This window comes from Homo sapiens, chromosome 12 (assembly GCF_000001405.40).
Source record: "Homo sapiens chromosome 12, GRCh38.p14 Primary Assembly".
NCBI classification, from domain to species: domain Eukaryota; kingdom Metazoa; phylum Chordata; class Mammalia; order Primates; family Hominidae; genus Homo; species Homo sapiens.
In genome coordinates, this window is record NC_000012.12 from 86,255,269 (window position 1) to 86,279,702 (window position 24,434).

The 24,434-nt window shown below is 34.4% G+C and overlaps 1 protein-coding gene and 1 long non-coding RNA gene across 13 annotated transcripts in view, besides 1 other annotated feature; one reads left to right on the forward strand and one right to left on the reverse strand.

Moving 5' to 3' along the window:
* MGAT4C (MGAT4 family member C) overlaps positions 1-24,434 on the reverse strand; it is an 883,334-nt gene that overhangs the window by 299,602 nt on the left and 559,298 nt on the right. For 7 of the 11 annotated variants that reach the window (NR_147093.3, NM_001351288.2, NM_001351282.2 and 4 more), the window contains exon 1: positions 971-1,123. The exons of 3 other annotated variants lie outside the window; for them this stretch is intronic. The gene's annotated coding sequence lies outside the window, so the exon portion shown is untranslated. Of the gene's footprint in view, positions 1-970; positions 1,124-1,928; positions 2,032-24,434 lie in introns of those variants that run through there. One more of the 11 variants, NM_001351287.2, reaches the window with a different exon arrangement.
* Positions 6,745-16,996, forward strand: LOC105369877 (uncharacterized). Of its 2 annotated transcripts, XR_945157.3 has the most exons (4): positions 9,433-9,566; positions 11,957-12,080; positions 14,371-14,443; positions 15,296-16,996. It is a non-coding gene; the product is annotated as an uncharacterized LOC105369877 (long non-coding RNA). The 2 variants fall into 2 exon arrangements; XR_001749240.2 differs by having other exon boundaries at positions 6,745-12,080.
* Positions 9,027-9,710: an enhancer, noted in NCBI's record as "H3K4me1 hESC enhancer chr12:86658073-86658756 (GRCh37/hg19 assembly coordinates)". NCBI's record gives its function as "activates a minimal SCP1, AML or CMV promoter by ChIP-STARR-seq in naive H9 embryonic stem cells {active_cell/tissue: H9 hESC(naive)}" and the evidence as "EXISTENCE:reporter gene assay evidence [ECO:0000049][PMID:30033119]".

Here is a 24,434-nt window from a genome sequence, read left to right on the forward strand (position 1 = left end):
ATGCTACTTTATACCATAATAATAGACAACATTTGAGGGGATACAAATGTTTTTGAATTCTTCATTTGTTATCATGTGAACATTCTCAGTCAATTGAAAGCTTTTAGTGTAGTGACTTTTCAGGTTCTCTGTCACATTCAATCACCTATCCATAGCAGTTCAACAGCTCTAAATATATTTGTTTTGCTACAATATAACAAGATCCTCAGGCATAAATGTTACTACTGACAAATGATTAAATAATATAAAGATATATTTTTAGGATTTAAATATTTTCTGGCTATGTAAAGACAGTATTTTATTATGCACCAAAAAGCATAACAAAAATGCAATAAATGATTTTAATATCTCTTAATTCCACAAAGAAACCCTTACATCCATTCTTAAAATTTTTCATTATTATTATTTCCAAATATTTAAATGGTAAATATGAATGTAAAGTCCTACAACTTTATTTCAGAAGCCAGAGCCTTTGCTCACTTGGTAAACTTTGTTTTCCCTGTATAAATGCAACTTTGGAAAACTGTCCCAAAGAACTGCCATTTAACAATTAGAAACTTTGACTCATTTTAAGTCTACAGCAACACTACTTGGTTGACCATTTCTACCACTATTCTTTAATACTAATAGAAAAATATAGAGAAATGATGCAGAATGATATACATACACATATACAGTTTTAAAAACACATTCAAAATTGTGGTCTTATAATAGCAGTATTTTCCTTTTTCTAAAGCGAAGCCGGATTTACCTGCCTTTCATTTTCTGCTGCAAATTAGTTTGTCAGGTACACGTTAGCAAGCTCTTTTTTTAATTCATTTTGCTAACTCCATAGTCCTTTAAATAATGATAAACATTCCTGAATAAAAGCTTACCAGATAGTAATCCTTTTTGACCCTTATAATATTTTCTCTGTAAGACACATCTACCTTTATTTTAAAAGAGAAGGTAAAACAGAAGAAGCCCTTACCAGAGACAGAGAAAACAATTCGTTCAGCTAGATCCAACAGTGCTCTGTGCAGCCTGGAAGCATGAGTGATCCTTGGGCCTCACACAAAAGCGAGATAATTGGCTCTCAATGAAGAGATGTAAACATCCATCATAATGGCACTGTGCTGAAACTGAACGCTACCTCAGCTGTTCTATGTACTCTGACTGGAAGATGATGTCACAAACATCAACTGGGTGTACTCTCATTGGCTTCTGTTACCTGGAATCATATCTTAACCCTAAACTGTCAGCTACAAATTGAAATGCACATTTCTGACTATAATTTCTGCCTTTAAAAGGAGAGTGAAAGTAATGTTGAGCTCCTGGGGGATCACAAACTGAAAATACTGCCCTCTAATTATGCTAAGACTGATTTACCTAATTAATTAATCAGAATTAGTGAAAATTTTATTTTCCAAATGTGTTTTGTTAAGTAGCAGTGTTTATAAAAGGTATTTGACAGAATGGATATTAAAGGACAAGATGTATGTAATCATAACATCTGGAATTTTAAATTTTGTAATTACTTTGCATTGATTTTACAGTACTAGCCCCTGAGATTTAAGAAACTCAAATTGAGAAAAATTATAATGTAGTCAATTGTACAGTGAAGTTTTTAATCAATTTTTTCAGAGCAGCCATTTGTTTTTAAATCTTCTAATAAAACCACAAAAATGGAAATGCATTTTATTCTCTGAGTGTTAAACACTGTTTGCAAAGTTTCATGTAATAAACCTTAAAGTTTATTACATGATATTACATGAAAGAGATATTAAAAGCACATCACTAATACAATAATGTTAAATATTGGTTTTTACAAAGAGTAATTTATAAGCCACTGGAACTTCAGACAATCCCATTTCAGTAATTGAAAGCTACTCTATGATATAGTGCTGTTCTTTTTGAGCACACACAGGGAATAATTATCCATCTCTTACCTTCTATCTTGACAAAAGCCCCAGATTTCTCCCCAGGCTTAAATCCAGTGGGAGAGGAGGATAATGGGCTAAGCTGGTTGCAGCAGCTTGCTGCCAGAGGGACAAAACTACAATCACCTTGAAATATACCCAAGCTTTCCCTACTGAAAGGAGCTGTCAACCGCATAACTGTGAGATGCAAGAATTACCAGAGCTATTCAATGACCAGTTCCTTCTAAATCTAGCCCAGCCATATCCCAGGGCAAGCCCTTTGAAAGCTGTGCAGCTCAGCATGCGAACAGTACAAGCACCTGGAGAAAGAGCAAGGAAATTCACTTCAACCACCCCAACTTTAGGGAAAGGAAAGTCACCAACAGTGCACTTGCATGACTTTATGCTGTTTCATTTATTTCTGAATAATGGATTCAGGGCAAATACTTGTTACATTCCCTCTGCATTTACAGTGACAGAAAATTATTTTTACTCAATGGCCTCAATAAGAGTTCAAAAAGTTGATAATATATGAAAATACACTTTCATATGTTCACATTTCCTCCCAAGTTCTGACTTTTATGATAGTCAGTTTATTTGATTACTCTGAGAAGCGAGTTAGCATGTGACATGGGAGCAAGAGTTCTAGACTAGGGTTGAAATGATTCATCCTCCAGTTCTTGCTCCACCACTTACTATCTGTAAAAACTCTGGTAACTTAGCATCTTTTATGTATAGACTGAGAGTGGTAATGCTACATACAGCAAAATAATAATAATAAAGATATGGGGATCAGATGAGACAATGCATAGAAGCTTGTTATATAAAATAAAAAGTATTACATAAATATAAGATAATTAATATTATCGTTGTTATGAAAACAATCAAATGCGTTAATTTTAAAGACACATGGAAGATTTAAAATTTAGAGTTACTTTGGTGCCCTCAAAATAATGATATAAATATGTTAAACCCTTAATATTTCAACTCAAAAATAATGTTGCAAATTAACTTGATTTATAACACTGACTCACTCAATTTTTTTTTTGTTTGTTTGTTTTGGAGTTTTAACCCTCCCAGAATAATTTCAGCATGTTTTCTACATGCAACAGGATATAATCTATCTATCTATCTATCTATCTATCTATCTATCTATCTATCTATCTATCTACATTCAGTTAATTTTTAAAGACAAATGTATTTTCTGGTGATTTTAGTGCACAGAAATCATAACCTCTCTTATTTGTTTTGCATTTGTTTGGGTGACAGAATGCCACATATAATGTGCCTAGAGAAATACAGCAATATAAAGATTGGGAAACTTAAATACTCCTAGGGCTCTGCAGGCATTTTTGTTTGTTTGTTCATTTATTTATTTGTCAATTTCCACAGGTATCAACGTATAGGCATTTTGTATCAATAACCCACATCCTACACAAAATTTGTTTACAAGTGAATAAGGTACCTAGTAAAGAAAGCTGGTTTTTGTTATTAAAATATGTCAGTGAGATTTTTTAAGAATATAGATTTCAATGCTTAAATATTATACAAGATGGAGTCTCTAATGAATTACTTAGTATTTTAAGGACATACACTTATTACATATGAAAATAATTTCATATTTAAAATTTGAATTGTTTAAAAATTAACAAAATTATTGGCTTATACTTTAATTCCTAGGAAAATTGATAGGAAAAAAGATAATGTACTAGAAATACTTCATACTAACGTTGGACTAGAATAATGAGTGAATCTTTATCACATACATTAAGTCAACTTCAAATTTTGTATTTATTTATTAGGACAGAATTTATATTTTAGTTTTAAATAATTACATTTATACACTCAGGAACATTCAGATAAATACAGGATATAATAGTTCATATATGAATATCAGTTTTATTACTCCAAAGTATATTTTATACATAAGGACAGAAGAAAATATATATACATATATTCTCTTACAGTGGGGAGAAATCATTAGAAAGTAATAATTAGTAGAATTTATAAAATTTTTTTGTGATTTTTTAGTGGTGTTTCTTTTGGAAAAGTAGAGATACTAAACTTCAAGACCTTTCAGTAATTTATTTTCAGAATGTCCTTTGGAAAAAAGTCTGATGATACTTGGACATCAGTCTGCACATGTATCTGGGTTAAGGTCAAAAATAAGATAGTGTGTATGTGATGTGAACATTGATAATAAGACACGTAACTGTTTTCTACTATACTAAAATAATATTATTAAGAAATACAACCTGATTACAAAATGTAAAAAAAATTCTAAATGTAAAAATGTTAAAACTTTAAGAAACTACAAGAAAAATAAAAGGATGGTGTCATTTCTTGAATATTCTATTTAATATACACATGTGGAAAAGTAAAATGCTGCATATAGCTCTAATTTCATAAAGGAATAATAACAAACACTGCATTTGAGAATGAATTTACCAACGTTGTCTCATTATTTATTACATTCCTCCAACTAAAATGGCCAGCTAGCATTTGTGAGTTCAGAGAATATAAAATATTTTAACTTTAATAGTGTGTAAAAGTTTAATATGAGGGGGCAAAACACTCTATAGACATCAATTTAAGCTTCATTCTCAGTAAATGTATATTAGTAAATATCTATAATAAGATCATTTCAATAGTTTTCATAACTCAGCACCCTGACTAGTAACATAATAGCCCCATGTCATAAAGCATACAACACTAGATATGAAAAGTCTTATTTTGTTTTTTCCTTTTTTTGAACAACATTGTTACAATTGTAACACCTGTAATTCAAGAAAAAAATTTGTTGAATGTGGTGAGAGGAAGCTAACCAATTTTAATGTAGGCATTTTACTATTCATTAGCATTATTTTACTACATAGACACATAATTAACAGATAAATAGGCTTTATTGCATTAGGGTATATTAAAATTAAATCTGCTCAAAAAATGGAAGGACAAGTTGGAGTATCAAATAAAAATTTATATCAAATACTTATTAATATGTTTGCAGAGAATTAGGTGGTAAGAGAATTAAAAACACAGAGACAAAAGAGAAACATGCCCTTGTAAAAACGCTTGTTGTCCACAGCTGGCTCCCACCCACCTTTTATTGTTTCAACCCCTTGCTCCCACTGAAAGTAAGCACATCTGTCCCTTAAAGTACTGTCTTAATTCTAAACTCGTTTCTCAATGTACCCTGTTTAATAGCTATGTGGTTACTTAGGGCCTTTTAAAATTAGAATATGATGCAGGCACAGCCATACCCTGATAGGCAGAAATAGCCAGAAGCCTACTACCTTTTATTTTTAAATTTATCAAAGTTAACATTGAATAATTTACAATGTGCCAATTTCCTAATAGAAAGAAACCTCCAAATCAAATTATTTTCATAGTAAGGTGTGTTTCCATAGGAAATGAAGCAGAGTTAGTTATTATCTGCACTTACTTTCTCTAGAATAGCTCCACTATTAGAATTGGATCAGAGCATAGAGTGTAAGTCAGAGATTCTTCTGTTCAATTATTGACTGTATATTTTATGCACCATGACAAGGAGCAAGTTATTTACCTTCCCTGAACAATGTTGTCTAACTTGTGATCTTTCTCAAAGGCTTCTTAAAGTTATTAAAAAGAGAAATATATTATATAAATTATTTAGATCATTATTTAGTACTTGCTAATTGGTAATTGCTCAAGGGACAAATTTTTCCCATATCCCATTATATTTTTATATAATAAAAATATCTTTGAAACAGAAACAAAGCTATATACCTTTTTTTTCCATTGAAGAGAAAGGTTTGTTCATTAAACAGCATATATAGCTACTCAAATGAAGGTTTTGTTCATTAAACATCATATATAGCTACTCATAAGTATTAAACAGAACCATGAGGAACAATGGAGCACATGATAAAGTAAAACTGTGTCTGAGAGAAGCAGCATCTTAAAACATTTGTGTGGCAGTTATAAATACTTGTCTAGCACTACCTTGTACAGAGTAGTAGCTCATTAAACATGTATTGAATTGATTTGACATTTTAAGAATTGGTGAACCTCTGCAGCAGAACATATTTAAAAACCCAAATTGCATCAACTTCACTTCTATTCATTCAATAGACAAAAATTGAAGACCTTATATAATGCCAGACATTGAATTAATTGCTATGATGCAAACATGAATATGACTCATACTTCAGTTTCAAGGAAACCTTAGTCAAGGGAGAGCTTGAAACCTTAAATAAAATATACCAGACCAATTTTCTTACTGGTCAGTTAACATAAACGAAAGTTTACCTAGAAGGCTGAAATGTCAAATATTTCTGTTCCTCATTTGAATTAGTAAAAAAACATCAGCAAGCTATTAGAAGCAATTTCCTGAGAAAAGTAACTTTTAAGATATATAATAATGTCATGACTGATTCAGACCAATATTTTGCAACCCGTGTATCTATCGTACTCTATTGATTTTCAATATGCACAACCAAGACCAAGAGGCATATCAAGGCACTCAAGTACCTTCTGAATCATCTTGAATTGATTAGGTGTAATGGAGTTCATGATTAATTGAGAGCATACCAGAAGTGTGTTGTACCTTGGGGTTTCACTCTGCCTTGTAAGGAAGTAAGAATTACAGTGAAGGGAAGTAAGAATCACATTACAGAATGTAAATGAAGGAAACTCTTAACATCCCTCCCCCACCACATTCATGCCTTGTTTAAAATCCTTCAGAAGTTCTTGTTCTTATAAGGAGAAAGGCAACCCCTTTAACCCATTTATGCCTCAGGTTGCAATTTTTTGAATTTTTGCAATCAGATCTTGGCTATGACATTGAGCAGTAGGATATAAATAACTCCCACATGCTTAGCGTTCCAATATTAGAACACTAGGCATAAATTTAATATAGTTTACAATGTCCTGTATGATCTGACCACAATCTCTCTAGCCTTACCTTCCACTAGCCTTCTCATCTCACTGTTGTGTTTCTCTCTTCTCCATCGCAAATGACAAGTTTCAGTCCCATTTCTTCCATAATTTATTTTGTTACAGAGCATGTTCATATATCCAGACAGTTGTTTCTACCTGGAATGCTTTCTACCCATTCTTCCTTTCATATTACTCCTTATTCTCACATGTCAAGCCATTTGAATCTATCAGTCACTCATAGTCATATTGTATCTTTCAGCCACAGGCTCTTTGCATATGCTTTCTATTCTAAATACTTTTCTATGCATGCCATCTTTCTTTTTATCTAGGTGTCTCTACTCATTCCAGATCAGCTATCCCTTTTCAAAGAAGTCATTCTTGCCTAGCTTATTAAATCAAATCTCTTTAAGTGACCTTATATCCTGATAGCTCTCTTTTGTTGCATTTATCATTGCAATAGATTTACTTCTGTGACTTTTAAGATGTTTGTATCTTCCACTAGGTTCTTGAAAGCAGACATTCTGTCTGCTTTTGCTTACTCTCTTAGGCATATGATTCATTTTTAGAGTACATTCATATATAGATATTCTAGTATACTACACAAAATATGCATATTAAAAACTTTGGCATGAAATTGGAATTTATTTTTAATTTTCTAATTTTAAACATCACTTGTATTTGATAAACCTTTTAAAGGTAATTTCTGCCTGCAGTCAGAATTAGAGAAAAGATAAGCCATTTTAATATGTTTTCTAGCACTTACTAAAATATTTTACTTATTATTTGTACTTCCAAAATTTTTGACCGACTGGATTTCCATATGGAATATTTTTCAACTTTATTCCTAGATATAGTAATGTTGACTGTAAAAACTTTGTCATTTGTTTAAAAGGTTTTATTTTATATATTTTCTATTAAAAGAGTGATTTTTACCCTACTATATAAAGGTGAAAGCTTTCTTTTCCAAATGTAACTTACATTTCTTTTTCAAATGTAATTTCAAATGTAATTATGGGGTTGTAACCCCATAAATTGGTAGATGAAACCAAAGATCAGTGATATGGGTCTAGATTGGAAGAGCCAAACAAATATTCTAAATTTTTATTTGTGTAAATTTACGGGATACAAGTGCAGTTTTGTTACATGCATCCATCACAAAGAGGTCAATTCAAGGCTTTTAGGGTATCTATCACCCAAATACTTTACATTATACCCATTCAGTAATTTCTCTTCACCCACTCTATCTCATCCTGTCACCCTTCTGAGTCACTATTATCTATCATTATACTCTCTATGTCCATGTTTCTACATTTGTATGTCCACTTATGACTGAGAATACACAATATTTGTCTTTCTGTGTCTGACATATTTCATTTCAGATAATGTCCTCCAATTTTGTCCATGTTGCTGCAAATGTCATAATTTCATATTTTTTTGGCTGAATAGTACTCCATTGTGTATATATGCCAAATTTTCTTTATTCAATCATCTATTGATGACACTTAAGTTGATTCAATGTCTTTGCTACTATAAATAGTGCTGCGATGAGCCTATCAGTGCAGATATCTTTTTGATTCATTGATCTTTTTTCTTTTGGGGAGATACCCAGTAGTGTGACTGCTGTATGAAATTGTAGTTATACTTTTAGTTCTTCAAGAAATCTCCATACTGTTGTCCATAAAGCTTGTACTAATTTACATTCCCACCAACAGTATATGAGAGTTCCCTTTTCTCTAAATTCTCACTAAAATCTGGTATTTTTTGTCTTTCTAATAGCCATTTTGACAGGCATATTATATCTCATTGTGCTTTTAATTTGCATTTTTCAGATGCTTAGTGATGTTGAGCATTTTTTCATATACCTATTGGTCATTTGTATGTCTTCTTTTGAGAAGTGTCTATTAATGTATTTTGCCCACTTTTTAATTGGATTACTTGTTTTGGGGTGGGGGGTTGTTGTTGGTGGGTTATTTGAGTTCTTTCTACATCCTGGATATTAGTCCCCTGCCAAATGCATAGTCTGCAAATATTTTCTCCCGTTCAACAGGTTGTCAGCTCTCTCTGTTGATTGTTTCTTTTGCTGTGCAGAAGCTTTTTAGTTTAAGTTCAGTTTGTCTATTTTTGTTGCGTGTACTTTTGAGGTCTTAGTCATAAATTATTTGCCTAGACCAATATCCAAATGAGTTTTTCCTAGGTTTCCTTCTAGTATTTTTATAGCTTCAAGTCTTATGTTTATGTCTTTGATATATTTTTAATTTATTTTTGTATATGGTGAGAGATAGGGGATAGGAGCCGTGTTTGTTTGTTTTTGTTGTTTGAGGGCCCCGTTTTGATTGCAGGAGAGGCCCGTCTGGAGCTGCCACTGCGAAGACGCGGGCTGCAGCGGGGGAGGCGGGGAGGGGGCTGCGCACTCCACAGAGCCAAGGGAAGCAAGGAACAGGTGGAAGTCCCGCCCCCTTCCGAGTTAGCTGGGCAGGAGCCTCCTGCTTCCCAGGTGAAGCTGCAGCCACCCAGCTGTGTGTGCGGACCCGGGCATTTCTGTGCTCTTGGGGGCCAGGGACAGGCAGGGTCCCCGCCTCCTGGGGTGCAGCTACAGCCGCCCAAGCCATGGCTACGGACCCAAGCATCTCTGCACTCTCCGGGCCCGGGAAGCAGCCCCTTGCCCCAGCAGGCTCAGAAGTGCCTGCTCTCACTGCCTGGCCTCTCCCGGCGCCCTCTCCGATCTCAGAGCAAAGTTGAGGCCAAGCCCAGGTGCTGTCACAAACCCAGTCGGCTGTGCCCACTCTTGGGGCAGTGCTGACACATCAGGCCCCTGCCGCCTCAGCCCTCTCTGGATTTTGGGCACTGACGAGCATGGGCTGTGACACCCTCTTTGGGGCTCTGCGGTTCCTGGCATCTCCAATCTTCTGGGCGCTACTGCGTTCCCTGGTGCCAGCCATGGAAGCTGCTTGCAGTAAGCCTGGTCTAGCCGCAGCCTCACAGGGAGCCGGCACCCGTGCGGGCACCTGGAGCTGCCCCACCCCCCGACCCCCAGCCGGCATGCCTGGCTGTGCGCAGTGGCCAGACCCCACCTCGCTCCCTCATACATCCCTCACTGCTCCACGCCTGGCTCACCCATGTCAGGTGTGACATCCAGGCCAGTAGCGCGAGCCAAGCGCAGCCTGCCAGGCCAAAACAGGCAGAACGAGCCCAGCAGGCCCGAGCAAAACTCAGGCAAAAGCGTCACCAGCCACAGAGGTTCCCAGCTGGCGAAACAACACCCCAAGGATCCTGTGACAGTTTCATTTTTCTTCATGTGGCCATTCAATCTTCCCACCACTGTTTATTGAAAAGGGTGTCCTTTCCCCAATGTGTATTCTTGTTTACTTTGTCAAATACCAGTTGGCTATAAGTATGTGACTTTATTTCCGGGTTCTCTATTCTGTTCCATTGATTTACGTGCCTGTTTTTTATACCAGTACCACGTTGTTCTAAGCCTTGTAATAAAATTTGAAGTCAGGCGATGTGATACCTCCAGGTTTTTTCCTTTTGCTTTGGATCACTTTGGCCATTCAGGGTCTTTTTGGTTTCATATACATTTTAGGTTTGCTTTATCTAATTCTGTGAAAAATGACATTGGTATTTTGATATAGATTTCAATGAATCCGCAGATTCAATGAAAGTATGGTCATTTTAATGATATTTGTGTTTCCAGTCCATGAGCTTGGGATATTTTTTATTTGTGTCATCTACAATTTCTTTCATCAGTGTTTCACCAAAGATCTTTTACTTCCTTGGTTAAATATATTCTTAGGTATTTATATTTATTTTTGTAGCTATTGTAAATGAGATTACCTTCTTGATTTGGTTCTCAGCTAAATTGTTGCTGGTCCATAGAAACACTACTGATTTTTGTATGCTTTTTTGTATCCTTCAAGTTTACTGAATTCATTTATCAAATTTAAGAGCTTTTTCTAGAATTTTTAGGTTTTTCCACCTGTAAGATTATATCTTAAATAAGCAAAGATAACTTGACTTGCTCTTTTCGAGTTTGTATACCTTTTATTTCTTTCTCTTGCCTTGTTGCTCTGGCTAGGACTTCTAGTACTATGTTGAATAGGTGTGGTGCAAGCGGGCATTCTTGTCTTGCTCCAGTTCTTAGGGGAAGTGCTTTCAACTTTTCCTAATTCAGTATGATATTGGCTATGGGTTTGTCATATATGACATTTATTATTTTGAGGCATGTTCCTTCAATGCCTAGTTAAATGAGGGTTTTATCATGAAAATATGTTGAATTTTATCAAGTGCTTTATTTGCATCTATTGAGATGATCATAGGGTTTTTGTCCTTCATTCTGTTTATATACTGTATCATATTTACTGGTCAGCATATGTTTAATCATCTTTGCATCCCTGGTGTAAAACCGAATTTATTGTGGTGTATTATCTTTTTGATATGCTGTTGTATTTGGTTTGCTAGTATTTTGCTGAAAATTTTGTGTCTATGATTATAAGGGATATTGTTCTGGAGTTTTGTTGTTGTGATTGTGTCCTTGTCTGGTTTTGGTATCAAGGTGATAATGGCCTCCTAGAATGAGTTAGAAAAAATTCCCTCTTCCTCAATTTTTTGAACAGTTTCAGAAGGATTGCTATTAGTTCTTCATACCTTTGGTAGAATTTGGCTGTAAATCCATCTGGCACTGGGATTTTCTTTGTTGAAAGATTTTTTTTTTTATTACTGACTCAATCTTGCTGCTGTTTATTGGCCTGCTCAGGTTTTTAAATTTTTTCTTGGTTCAATCTTAGGAAGATGCATGTTTCCAGGAATTTATCTATTTCCTTTAGCCTTTTTAGTTTGTGAGTATATAGTTATTCATAATATTCTCTAATGATCTTTTATATTTCATATCTCCTTTTTCACTTTTGATTCTACTTTTATTGTCTCCTGTCTCTTATTGGTTAGTTTATCAGTTTTGTTTGTCTACTCAAATAATCTAGTTTTGTTTTATCTTTTGTAATTTTTTTTTGGTCTTTTTTCATTTAGATCGGCTCTGACTTTGTTATTTCTTTTCTTCTGCAGTTTTGGTTTGTTTTTGCTTTTCTAGTCCCTTCAAGTGTATTATTAGATTGTTAATTTGTAATCTTTCTACTTTTTTAATGCAGATATTGAAGCTATAAAGTTCTCTCTTAGCACTGCTTTGCTGTATCTCACAGATTTTGGTAGGCTGCATTTCCATGCTGAGGGAATTCATCACCACTAGACGGGACCTACAAGCAACACTCAAAGGTATCTTAAACTTGGAAGTGAAAGGTAGATGTTCACCATCATGAAGACACCTGAAATTATACAGATCACTAGTAAAGCAATTACACAAAGGAAGAGGAGAAAGGAATCAAGTGGCACCACTTCAAAATTCTACCAAGACGCAAAAACAGACAGAAAGAAACAAAGAATTTATAAATTTTAAATAAAATTTTAGATTTATTAAATCTGTATAGTTCAGAGCTGTCTTTTTAATTCACAGCTGTTCTTTCAAATATTTTTATATGCACTAGACTGTAGTAATTCAATAAAGGGGGGAATAAATAAACCATAAAGAGAATGGAACGTTATAAAAATATCTGAAGTCAGTACAAGCTAGTAAGTAGGCCTAGACTGGAACACCATTGAATAAATGCAGAGCAAAGATGAACATATTTTTAAAGTAAAAATTTAGACTTCTCTTGATTTGGGAAGAAGTATTGTTAAGATCTTAGAACCAGATTTTCACTTATAATATGGAATTCATAGAATTATGTAGACGTATCAATTGCAAACAAGCAATGCAATTCCTGAGTAACTCTAATTTAATTTTTCTTACCAAAATATGACTAACATAGTGGCAGTAGGACAGAAATAGGTTTTGGTGGCATTAGAATATATTGAAACTCATAGCGACATCCCCAGATTCCTGGGGTGAAGTTAGATTTGAAGTATCAAGGGATCTCATTAGAGAAGATGCTTAGAAAGATAGCTGTGTATGTCAACCTTGAATTATAAATTCTTTTAAGCCATAAGGAGAATGCTTTCATCAGTCTTACAGACTTATGGAGTTGTACAGCTACTGATGGCCTTAGAAATTATTGATCTCACCATCTCATTCAGCCTACAAATTTTACAGATGTGAAAAATGAAATTTTTAGTCAACTAGCCCAAAGTCTTTTAGCTAAAGACATCCTTAATTGAAAGCCAGACTTTGGACTCTGGCTGTCAGGTCTCCATCTCTTTGTTACACACTTCATTGTATTAATATATTCAACTGGCCCATCACAAAAGAGTTACTTACTATGTCAAAATTTTGCTCATATAGATTTAAAAACATTGAAAAATACATGATATATAAAGGATTTTTTTTTCTTCATCTTCTTCACTTCAGTGAATGTATATTGAAACCTTTATTTTTTCCCTTTTAAACCTACTATCTACCATACTTTTACGGACTCATAGATTTTTGAAGGGTCCATTAAAAACATTAGTAAAGAGAAGATACAACCTTAATAAAATATTTTGTTGTAGTTATTTAATTGGCTTACTGCTCAAACAAACAAAAGGATATTAACTACATATATATATATATACATATATACATATATATACACATATATATATATACACATACACACACACATACATACACATGTATTTTTTGGCTCTGCCAACAATAAATTCATTTTTATTGTTTATTTCAGTTTTTACCAAGAAATATTATTATTCTGAAAGAAAGTAAAGTGGCACATTTTTTTCTTCTTAGTAATTATGCATATACATTTAAAATAAAAAAGAAAGGGTGTTTTTTTTTTGCCTGAAAAACAAGTAGAGGAGATATTACAGTACCCCTTTCGAACACCATCAACCCACCCTCACACACATACACATCTCATTTGCCTTTTGTATATATTCTTTCATACTTACATATATATATATATATATATATATATATATATATATATATATATATATTCTTTTCTTTTAATTCTCACACTATGTGGAGTTTTCACTAACCTCATGACATTTTATTTAATTGTTGTGAGCTCCTCATAGGCCTTCAGCAGATATTTATGAGTTCTTCAAAAAATTGTAGAGCACAAAGTTGTTATAATTATATCTATTTGGAAATAACCTGCTTAAGTGTTTTATATCATTATGTCACTTAGAATATCTTTAGATAGGTCTTACCTCATCTACATATTTGTCTTTATTATAATACTGAGATATGGGCTCATTTCTACTTATTTCCAAGAAATATTTAAGTAAAGTTTATTTTTTTTTCTTTTGGTCATTTATATAAGTGTAGTCCTGATCCTTAATTCTATTAACATTTCTTGACAGTAGTCAAGAAAATTCCAATTTAACTACAGTCATAAAATGTGATTGTTAGTATATTCCAGTCCTGTGGCACTTAGGACAAAGACAGTTTTACAGTGTTAACTGAATTATAAACTCTCCAATTCAGGTTTTTTTGTTTTTTTTTTTCCTGGTTGCCAGGTGTAGAAGAGATCTCCAGTATTTTTCACTTTCTCCTCATTTTTCTTCTTAGAGAAACTGCCTCAAAAATGGCAATATCTTCTTTGTGCTTAATGACCCTAACTTCATGAAGACTTGGCATATAGGTGAGCACTTGAATATTGAAATGAAGATATTATGAGATTTAGACTATATTAATGGAGGAAAGAATGCATAAAAAGTCAATATAGTTATTTTGTTGATATTTTTGATGGTACCCTGGTTCCCAATCTCCTTGAAAATGTTACTTGATTCTTCTTGTGTATCCATATGAATTGTAGTTTTTTATTGTGATAAAATATATATAACATAAAGTTTATTATTTTAAACCATTTTGGTTGTACAGGTCAGTATCATAAAGTATATTCACGCTGTTGTACAAGCATCACCATCATCCTTCTCTAGCACTTTTCACCTCCCGTAGTGGATCTCTGTTTTTGTTTTGTTTTGTTATGTTTTGTTTTGTTTTGTTTTTCTTTTGAGACAGAGTCTCACTCTGTCCTCCAGGCTGGAGTGCAGTGGCATGATCGCGGCTCACTGCAACATCTGCCCCCTGGGTTCAAGAGATTCTCCGGCCTCAGCCTCCCAAGTAGCTGGGATTACAGGTGCACACCGCCATGCCCAGCTAATTTTTGGCACTTTTTTAGGAGAGACAGGGTTTCATCTCTACTAAAAAATGTTGGCCAGGCTGGTCTCGAACTCCTGACCTCAGGTGATCCGCCCGCCTCGGCCTCCCAAAGTGCTGGGATTACAGGTGTGAGCCACTGAGCCCAGCCCATAGTGGAACTCTGTACCATTAAAAAAGAACTCCCCATACCTTTCTCCTTCCAGCCCCTAGCAACCACAATTCTATTTTCTGTCTCTATGAATTTGACTACTCTAGGAATTTCATATAATTAAAATCATACAATGTTTGTTCTTTTTTGTCTGGCTTATTTTACTTACCATATTTTTTTCAGGTTTCATCCATGTTGCAGCATGTGTTAGAATTTCACTTACTTCTAGATTCAATGCAATCCCCATCAAAATATCAACATCATTCTTCACAAAATTAGCAAAAACAATTTAAAAATTTATATGTAACCGAAAAAGAAAAGTGCAAATAGTGCAAGCAATCCTGAGCTGAAAGGACAAAGCTGAAGGCATCACATCACACTACCTGACTTCAAAATACATTACAAGGCTATAGTAAACGACATGGTATTGGTAAAAATACACACATGGAACAATGAAACAATTTAAAAAGCAGAAAATGTCATGTATTTATAACTAACTAATCTTCGACAAAGATGACAAGAGCTTACATTGAGGAAAGAGAACCCTCTTCAATAAATGGTGCTGGAAAAATTGGAGAGCCAAATGCAGACAAATAAAACTGGAATTCTATCTTCCACACATGCAACAATTAACTTACAACAAATTAAAGATTTAAATATAAGACAAGAAAATACAAAAAATACTAAAAGAAAATCTAGGAAAAAGTATTTTGGACATTTGTCTAGGCAAAACATTTATGAAGACCTCAAAAGCACAAGCAACAAAAACAAAAACAGACAAGTGGGGCTATATTAAACTAAACAGCTTCTGCACAGCAGAGGAAACAACACAGTGAGGAGAAAACCTGTTGAATGAGAGAAAATATTTGCAAACTATCCACCCAACAGGGGCCTAATGTCAAGAATATAAAAGGAACTCAAACAACTGAACAGGAAAAGACCAACTAATTACAAATAATCCCATACAACAGCGGGCAAAGGACATGAATAGATATTTTTCAGAAGAAAACACAAATGGCCACAGGTGTATAAAAAATGATCAGTCAATATCACTAATCATTACTGATTAAGTTAAAAGCACAATAAGCTACCATCTTATACCTGTCAAAATGATTATTATTAAAAAGACAACAGATGTTGATGAAGATGTGGAAAAAAGGGAACACTTACATATTGTTGGTGGGGGTGCAAACTATTAAAACAGTATAGAGATTTTCCAAAAAACTGAAAATAGTATTACCATTTGATCCAGTAATCTCATTACTTGGGTATCGGTCTGAACAAAAAAGAATGAATATGTCCAAGGGAAACCTGCACTTGCATGTTTATTGCAGCACTATCCACAATAGCAAATATGTGGAACCAATTAGTTTTCATCAATAGATGATGGAGTAGAGAATATTTGGTATATATACAGCATGGACTATTATTCAGTCATTAGAAAAGAATGGAATCCTGTCATTTGCAGCAACAAGGATAGAACTGGGAGGTCATTATCTTAAGTGAAATGAATCCGGCACAAATTGGCAAATATCACATGTTCTCACTTATATGTGAGATTAAAAATATTTGATCACATAGAGATAGACAATGAAACTACAGAAACTGGGAAAGGTGAGTCAGGGAAGGGAAGAGGATGAAGAGAACTGGTTAAAGGGTATAAACATACAGCAAGATAGAAGGAATAAATTCAATATTTATAGTAGAGTAGGGTAAATATACTTAACAAAAATATACTGGGGCTCATGTTATGAATATCCTAAATACACTGACTTGATTGCTATGCATTATATACCTGTAACACAATTTCCCACATATCCCATAAATTTGTGTAAATAAAAAAATTATTTATTCGTAAGACTGAATAATACTTCATTGTCTATATAGGCCACATATTGTCTATTTATCCTTAGATGGACATTTGGATTGTTTCCATGTTTTGGCTAGTGTGAATGGTGCTGTTATGAATGTTGGTACACAGACATGTATTTGAGCCTATGCGTTCAATTCTTTGGCTATATTACTAGAAGTAGAATTGTTATTTTTTTAAAGAAACCATGATACAATATTGTTAAGATTTGTATTATTTTAAACAGATGTTCCTTCACCTAGGATACCTAAGAGAGATTTTTTTTTTCTAAACAATCCTCAACTAAAAACTAATGCAATAATGATATCTAAAATAAATCTCTTCCAGGTGCAGCTCATGCCTATAATTCCAGTACTTTGGGAGGCTGAGGTGGGCAGATTGCTTGAGCTCAGGAGTTGGAAACCAGCCTGGGTAACATGGTGAATCCCCAACTCTACAAACAAATACAAAAATTAGCCAGGTGTGGTGGCATGTACCTGTGATCCCAGCTACTCAGGAGGCTGCACTGGGAGGGTCACATTGAGCCTGGGAGGTCGAAGCTACAGTAAGCAGTGATCATGCCAACACACTCCAGCCTGGGTGACAAAGTGAGACCCTGTCTCAAATAAATAAATAAATAAATTAAATTAATTAAATATTTGCATTCATTGTACAGATGGCGGACAAAGGACCTGATGTTAGGTTTGCCTGACAATGACCCTCTACATCATAAACAGCAACATAGCTCTTTTTTAATATTAATGAAGTGTCCATTAATTATTTCCTGTTTTCTTAGAACAGAAAAAAAATAGGAGACTTTTTGGAGTCCTTTAAACTGGAGATATTAGTGGTGTAGATAGCATGTTAGCAAGCAGGATTGGAGAAATATTTGAAAAACAAGAGTTGACAAGATCAATTTCCTGGATGTAGCATGGATGTTGATTAAAGAAACAAATTTTTGAGGTTAAATTACTGGATTACAATTCTGACTTCATTATTTACCAGCTGTGTGATCTTGGGCAAGTTACTTGATTTTCCTGTATCTTAGACTTCTCATTTATAGATTAGTAACAATATTTATTTCTTTGGTACTTTATAACAATTAAATAAATTGAAAGACAAGGCTCTTAGACTAATGGAACATAAGAAAAATATAGACATATTTGTTAAATATATTTAGAGGAGAAATATATAAATATTGTTTCCCAAGTTTATGGCAAAATGATTGAATGTTACTATTTATTATGATAAAAACCAATACAAACAAATATATACAGGAAGCATGTTTAATTTTAAATCTGCATGCAACATACATAATCTTTAATTTTAAGTGAAAATTGGACTGTCCAACTATGAAACTGAGAGATAAGAGATGAGACCTGGAGTCACAATGTGGAAATTCATCAGTGTACAGATTATATACCATAACATAGGGTCATTATATAAATAAAATGAGGGTCTTGTAGTGAGACCCCAGTAATCTACAAAACTTAAGAGATTTGCCAGTGTATACACTGCATACGATAACAGAGTGAATATATAAGTGATAAGAGGGCCTAGTGATGAAACCCCAATAATTCAACGTATCATGAAACCACAAATAGTTTTAATCCAACAGAAACTTTATGCAGCTCTGAAGCTCAAAAACTTTAATGGTACTTGCACCTTGTATTAGACCGTTCTGGCATTGCTATAAAAAAATACCATGTAATTTATAAAGAAAAGAGGCTTAACTGGTTGACAGTTCCACAGGTGGTACAAAGAGCGTAATGCTGGCATCTGCTCAGCTCCTGGGGATGCCTCAGGAAAATTACAATCATGGCAGATAATTTGTAAGCTCCCCTAAGAGGGAGCACTTGTCTTACACAGCAGGAGAAGGAGCAACAAAGAGAGTGAGGGAAGAGGTGCTACACACTTTTAAACAACCAGATCTCATGACAAGTCACTCATTATCAGGAGAACAGCACCAACCGGATGGTGCTAAACTATTAATGAGAATCACCTCCAAGATCCAATTACTTCCTACCAGGTTCCACTTCCAACATTCAAGATTAAAATTTGACATGAGATTTGGGTGGGGACATATATCCAATCGATATCACACTCAAAGACACTCTAGTCTTTAAAAAGTGGATATCATCTAAATAATTATTTAACTATATATATAGTATAGTATATAGTTATATATGTTTCCCATTGATAAAACTGCCATTGTGCTAGAGATTATATTTTTTAATATGAATACAAGTCAACATAATGTAAAGCAATAGAGGCAATCTTCATCAATTTATAGAACAAACCCTTGAAAGTAAATTTGGCTACCGAGTTTTTGCACCAGATAATAATGTTAAAAAATGGCTGCTAGACAATAACCAAGAACTCCTGGGCAGATTTACAGATGGAATGTTCCATAATTAAGTTTTCATGGGCTATATGAAAAGCAAAAGTAGTATTTAATAGAAGAATATTTAGCCATCCTCTGTCCACATTATATACCCAGATTGGCTGGAGTCATTCTATTACATTAAGGTGAAACATAATACTGGGGTCAGTTGTTTGCCTCCAGACTTGCCAGGGCAGAATACAGAAGCAGGCTTGAAAGTCAATTTTTGCCTAAGAGTTAACACCATTCTGTGAAAGGAAGAGTGTGAGAAAAGTGGACATTGACAGAATAACAAAAGCTCTTCTTGCAGAAAAGCTTCATGTCATCAGACTGCAAAGATTGGCTGAAGGGTAGTCGAACATACGGTAAGGGGCCCACAGACATTTTAGCATTGCCACTCGGGTTTTGGGAAACTGAAGTTGTTTCAAAAAGTAGATAAGGTTGTTCAAGGAAAACAAAGCTAACCTACAGTCAACAGTTCATTCATCTTGATTTAATTGACACAATATATACCATTCAGAACAAGTATGAAATGTCACTTGAAAATTAAACGACAACTAATATGAAATTTCACAAATTATCAGCTGGATAATACTATCACAAACCAATCTGATAATATTAAAGAGAGTAGATAACATAATGGTTAAGAGTAAGAGCACTGGAGTCATTCAGATAAAGGTTCCATTTCTGTCTCTCAACTTAATCACCTTGTGATCTCATGCAGTCTCATTATCCTTCTAAACTTGTGTCCTCTGTTGAATAGAGCCGTATCATAAGGATTTTATGAAGGTAAATGAAATAATGAATGTTAAGCAATCAGTACAATGCCCAGCTGTTGTAGTTGGATAATGACCCCCGAAGATGTCCATGTCTTAATCCCCGGAACCTGGGAATATGTTACCTTACTTGGCAAAAGGAAAGTTGCAAATATGATTAAGTCAAAGCTCTTGAGATGGAGAGATTATACAAATTGATCCAATGTAGTGACAAACGTGTTGATAAGAGGGATAAAGGAAAGCCAGAGTCAGAGAAGGAGATTTGAGGATTAAAGCGGAGAGTGGAGTGATGCAAGGCCATTTGCCAAATAATTCAGGCAGCCTCAAGAAGCTGAGAAAGACAAGCATTCTCCCCTAGAATCTCTAGAAGGAACATAGCAGTGCTGACCTGTTTTAGATTTCTAACCTCCAAAACTGTAAGAAAATAAATTGGCTGGGCGCGGTGGCTCACGCCTGTAATCCCAGCACTTTGGGAGGCCGAGGCGGCGGATCACGACGTCAGGAGATCGAGACCATTTTGGCTAACACGGTGAAACCCCGTCTCTACTAAAAATCCAAAAAAAAAAAAAAAAAAAAAAAAAAAAATTAGCCGGGCGTGGTGTTGGCCGCTTGTAGTCCCAGCTACAGGCTGAGGCTGGAGAATGGCGTGATCCCGGGAGGCGGAGCTTGCAGTGAGCCGAGATTGCGCCGCTGCACTCCAGCCTGGGCGACAGAGCAAGACTCCGTCAAAAAAAAAAAAGAAAACAAAATAAATTTGTGTAGTTTTAAACCATTAAGTTTGTAGTGATTTTTTTACAAGTATAGGAAATTAATATACTAACATAATTACTTAAATTTAGCTATTATTATTGAAAAATATGTACTTTACAAGATGAGAAATCTATTTTTCAATTTTTAATTTTGTAGGTATATGGTGTCTATATTTAACGAGGTACATGAGATATTTTGATGTAGGCATACAATGTGTAATAATCACCGCAAGGTAAATGGGATATCCATCACCTCAAGTAATTTACCCTTTATGTTACAAACAATCCAATTATACTCTTTCATATTTTAAAATATACAATTAGATGGTTATTGACTATGGTCTCCCTGTTGTGGTATCAAATAGTAGAAGGTATTCATTTTTTCTGTTTATTTTTTTATTTTTTGTACTCATTAACCATACTCAATCCCCCACTTCAACACCTGCACTGCCTTTCTCAACTTCTGGAAACCATCCTTCTACTTTCTATCTCCATTAGTTCAATCATTTTAATTTTTACCTCCTACAAATGAGTGAGAACATGTAAAGTTTGTCTTTCTGTTTCTGGCTTATTTCACTTAACATAATGACCTCCAGTTCCATCCATGCCGTTGCAAATGACAGAATCTCATTCTTTCATATGGCTAAATGCTACTCCATTGTGTATACATACTACATGTTCTTTATCCATTTGTCTGTTGATGGACACTTAGCTTCCCTCCAAATCTTGGCTATTATAAATAGTGCTGCAATAAATATGGGAGTGTACATCTCTTAAATATACTGATTTCCTTTCTTTTGGGTGCATACCCAGCAGTAGCATTGCTGGATCATATGGTAGCTCTATTTTTAGTTTTTTGAAGAACCTCCGAACTGTTCTCCCTAGTGGTTGTACTAATTTACATTCCTATCAACAGCGTATGAGAGTTCCCTTTCTCTATATCCTCTTTAGCATTTCTGGTTGCCTGTGTTTTGGATAAAAGCCGTTTTAACTGGAGCAAGATGATATCTCATTGTAGTTTTCATTTGCCTTTCTCAATGTTGAGCACATTTTTATATACCTGTTTGCTATTTGTATGTCTCCTCTTGAGAAATGTTTATTCAGATCTTTTGCCCATTTTTGATTATTATTTTTCTTATATATTCTGGTTATTAATCCATTGTCAGATGAATACTTTGCAAATATTTTCTCCCATTCATTGGGCTGTCTCCTCACTTTGCTGATTATTTTGTTTACTGTGCAAAAAGCTGTTTAACTTGACGTGATCCCCATTTGCCCATTTTTGTTTTGATTGCCTGTGCTTGTGGGGCATTACTCAAGAAATCTTTGCCCAGTCCACTGTCCTGGAGACTTTTTCCATTGTTTCCTTTTTAGCCTTTTCATAGTTTGAGGTTTTAGATTTAAGTCTTTAATCAATTTTGATTTCAATTTTGTGTATGACAGAATAGAGTGGGGTAGTTTCATTCTTCTGCATATGGATATCCAGTTTCCCCAACACCATTTATTTAAGAGACTGTCCTTTACCCAATTGTGTTCTTGGCACCTTTGTTGAAAATGAGTTCACTGTAGATTCATGGATTTCTTTCTGGGTTCTCTGTTCTGTTCCATTGGTCTATGTGTCTTTTTTTATGTTAGGACCATGCTGTTTTGGTTACTATAGTTATTTAGTATAATTTGAAGTCAGGTAATATGATTCCTCCAATTTTGATTTTGTTGTGTAGGATAGCTTTGGCTGTTCTGGGGTTTTTTGGGGTTCCATGTAAATTTTAGGATTATTTATCTATTTCATTTAAGCATGTCATTGGCATTTTAATAGAGATTGCATTAAATCTACAGATTGCTTTGAGTAGTATGGACATTTTAACAATATTCTTACAATCCAGGGAACATGAAATATATTTCCACTTTTGGTGTCCTCTTCAATTTATTTTATCAATATAATACAGTTTTTATTGCAGAGATTTTTTTCACTTCTTTGGTTAATTCCTAGATATTTAATTTTATCTGTAGCTATTGAAATGGGATTAGTTTGTTGACTTCCTTTTTTTTTTTTTTTTTTAAGATGGAGTTTTGATCTTGTTGCCCAGGCTGCAGTTCATGACATGGTCTTGGCTCACTGTAACCTCCGCCTCCTGGATTCAAGTGATTCTCCTGCCTCGGCCCCTCAAATAGCTGGGATTACAGGTGTCTGCCACCACACCCAGCTAATTTTTGTATTTTTAGTAGAAGTGGGATTTCACCATGCTGGGCAGGCTGGTCTTGAACTCCTGACCTCAGGTGATCCACCCACCTCGGCCTCCCAAAGTGCTGGGATTACAGGCGTGAGCCACCATGCCCATCTTTGTTTATTTCTTTTTCAGATTTTTCACTGTTGGCATACAGAAATGCTACTGATTTTTGTGTGTTGATTTTGTATCTTGCTACTGTACTGAATTTGTTTATCAGTTCTAGTAATTTCTTGGTGGAGTCCTTAGGTTTTCCAAGATATAAGAGCATATCATCTGCAAACAAATATAATTTGACTTCTTCCTTTCCAATTTGATGCAATTTTTTTCTTTCTTTTTTCTGATTGCTTTAGCTAGGATTTCCAGTACTATGTTGAATAACTGTGGTCAAAGTGGGCATCCTTGGCACGCTTTCTGTTTTTCCCCATTTATGATACTAGCTGCAACTCTGTCATATATGGCTTTTGTTGTGTTAAGCTATATTCCTTCTATACCCAGTTTTTGTAGAGTTTTTATCATGAAGTAATGTTGAATTTTATCAAATGTTTTTTAGCAACAGTTGAAATTATCATATAGGTTTTGTCCTTCAGTCAGTTGATATGATGTCTCACATCCTTATATCCCTGTGATAAATCTCATGTGATCATAAGGAATGATTTTTTAAATGTGTTGTTGAATTTGGTTTGCTAGTATTCTGTTTTTGCCTCAATGTTTATCATGGACATTGGCCTGTAGTTTTATTTCTTTTCTTTTCTATTTTTTTAATGTGTCTTTGTCTGATTTTGGTATTAGGATAATACTGGCCTTGTAGAATGAGTTTGGACGTATTCACTCCTTCTCTATTTTTTGGAATAGTTTGAATAGGATTGATATTAGGTCTTCTTCAAATGTTTGGTAGAATTCAGCAGTTAAGCCATTGGGCCCTGGCCTTTTCTTTGCTGGGAGATTTTTATCATGGCATTGATCTCATTACTTGTTATTGGTCTGTTCCGGTTTTGGATTTCTTCATAGTTCAATCTTGGTAGGTTGTATGTATCTAGAAATGTATTGATTTATATTAGGTTTTGCAACTGATAGGCATACTGTTCCTCATAGTAGCCACAAGTGATTCTTTAATTTTCTGTGGTGTCAGTTGTAAGTCTCCTTTTCATTTTTGATTTTATTTATTTGGGTCTCCTCTCTCTTTTTCTTAGTCTATCAACTTTGCTTACCTTTTCGAAAACAAGCAACATTTTGTTTTGTTGATCTTTTTTATTGTTTTCTTCATTTTAATTTTATTTATTTCTGCTCTGATCTTTTTTTTTTCTTCTACTAATTTTGGGTTCCATTTGCTCTTGATT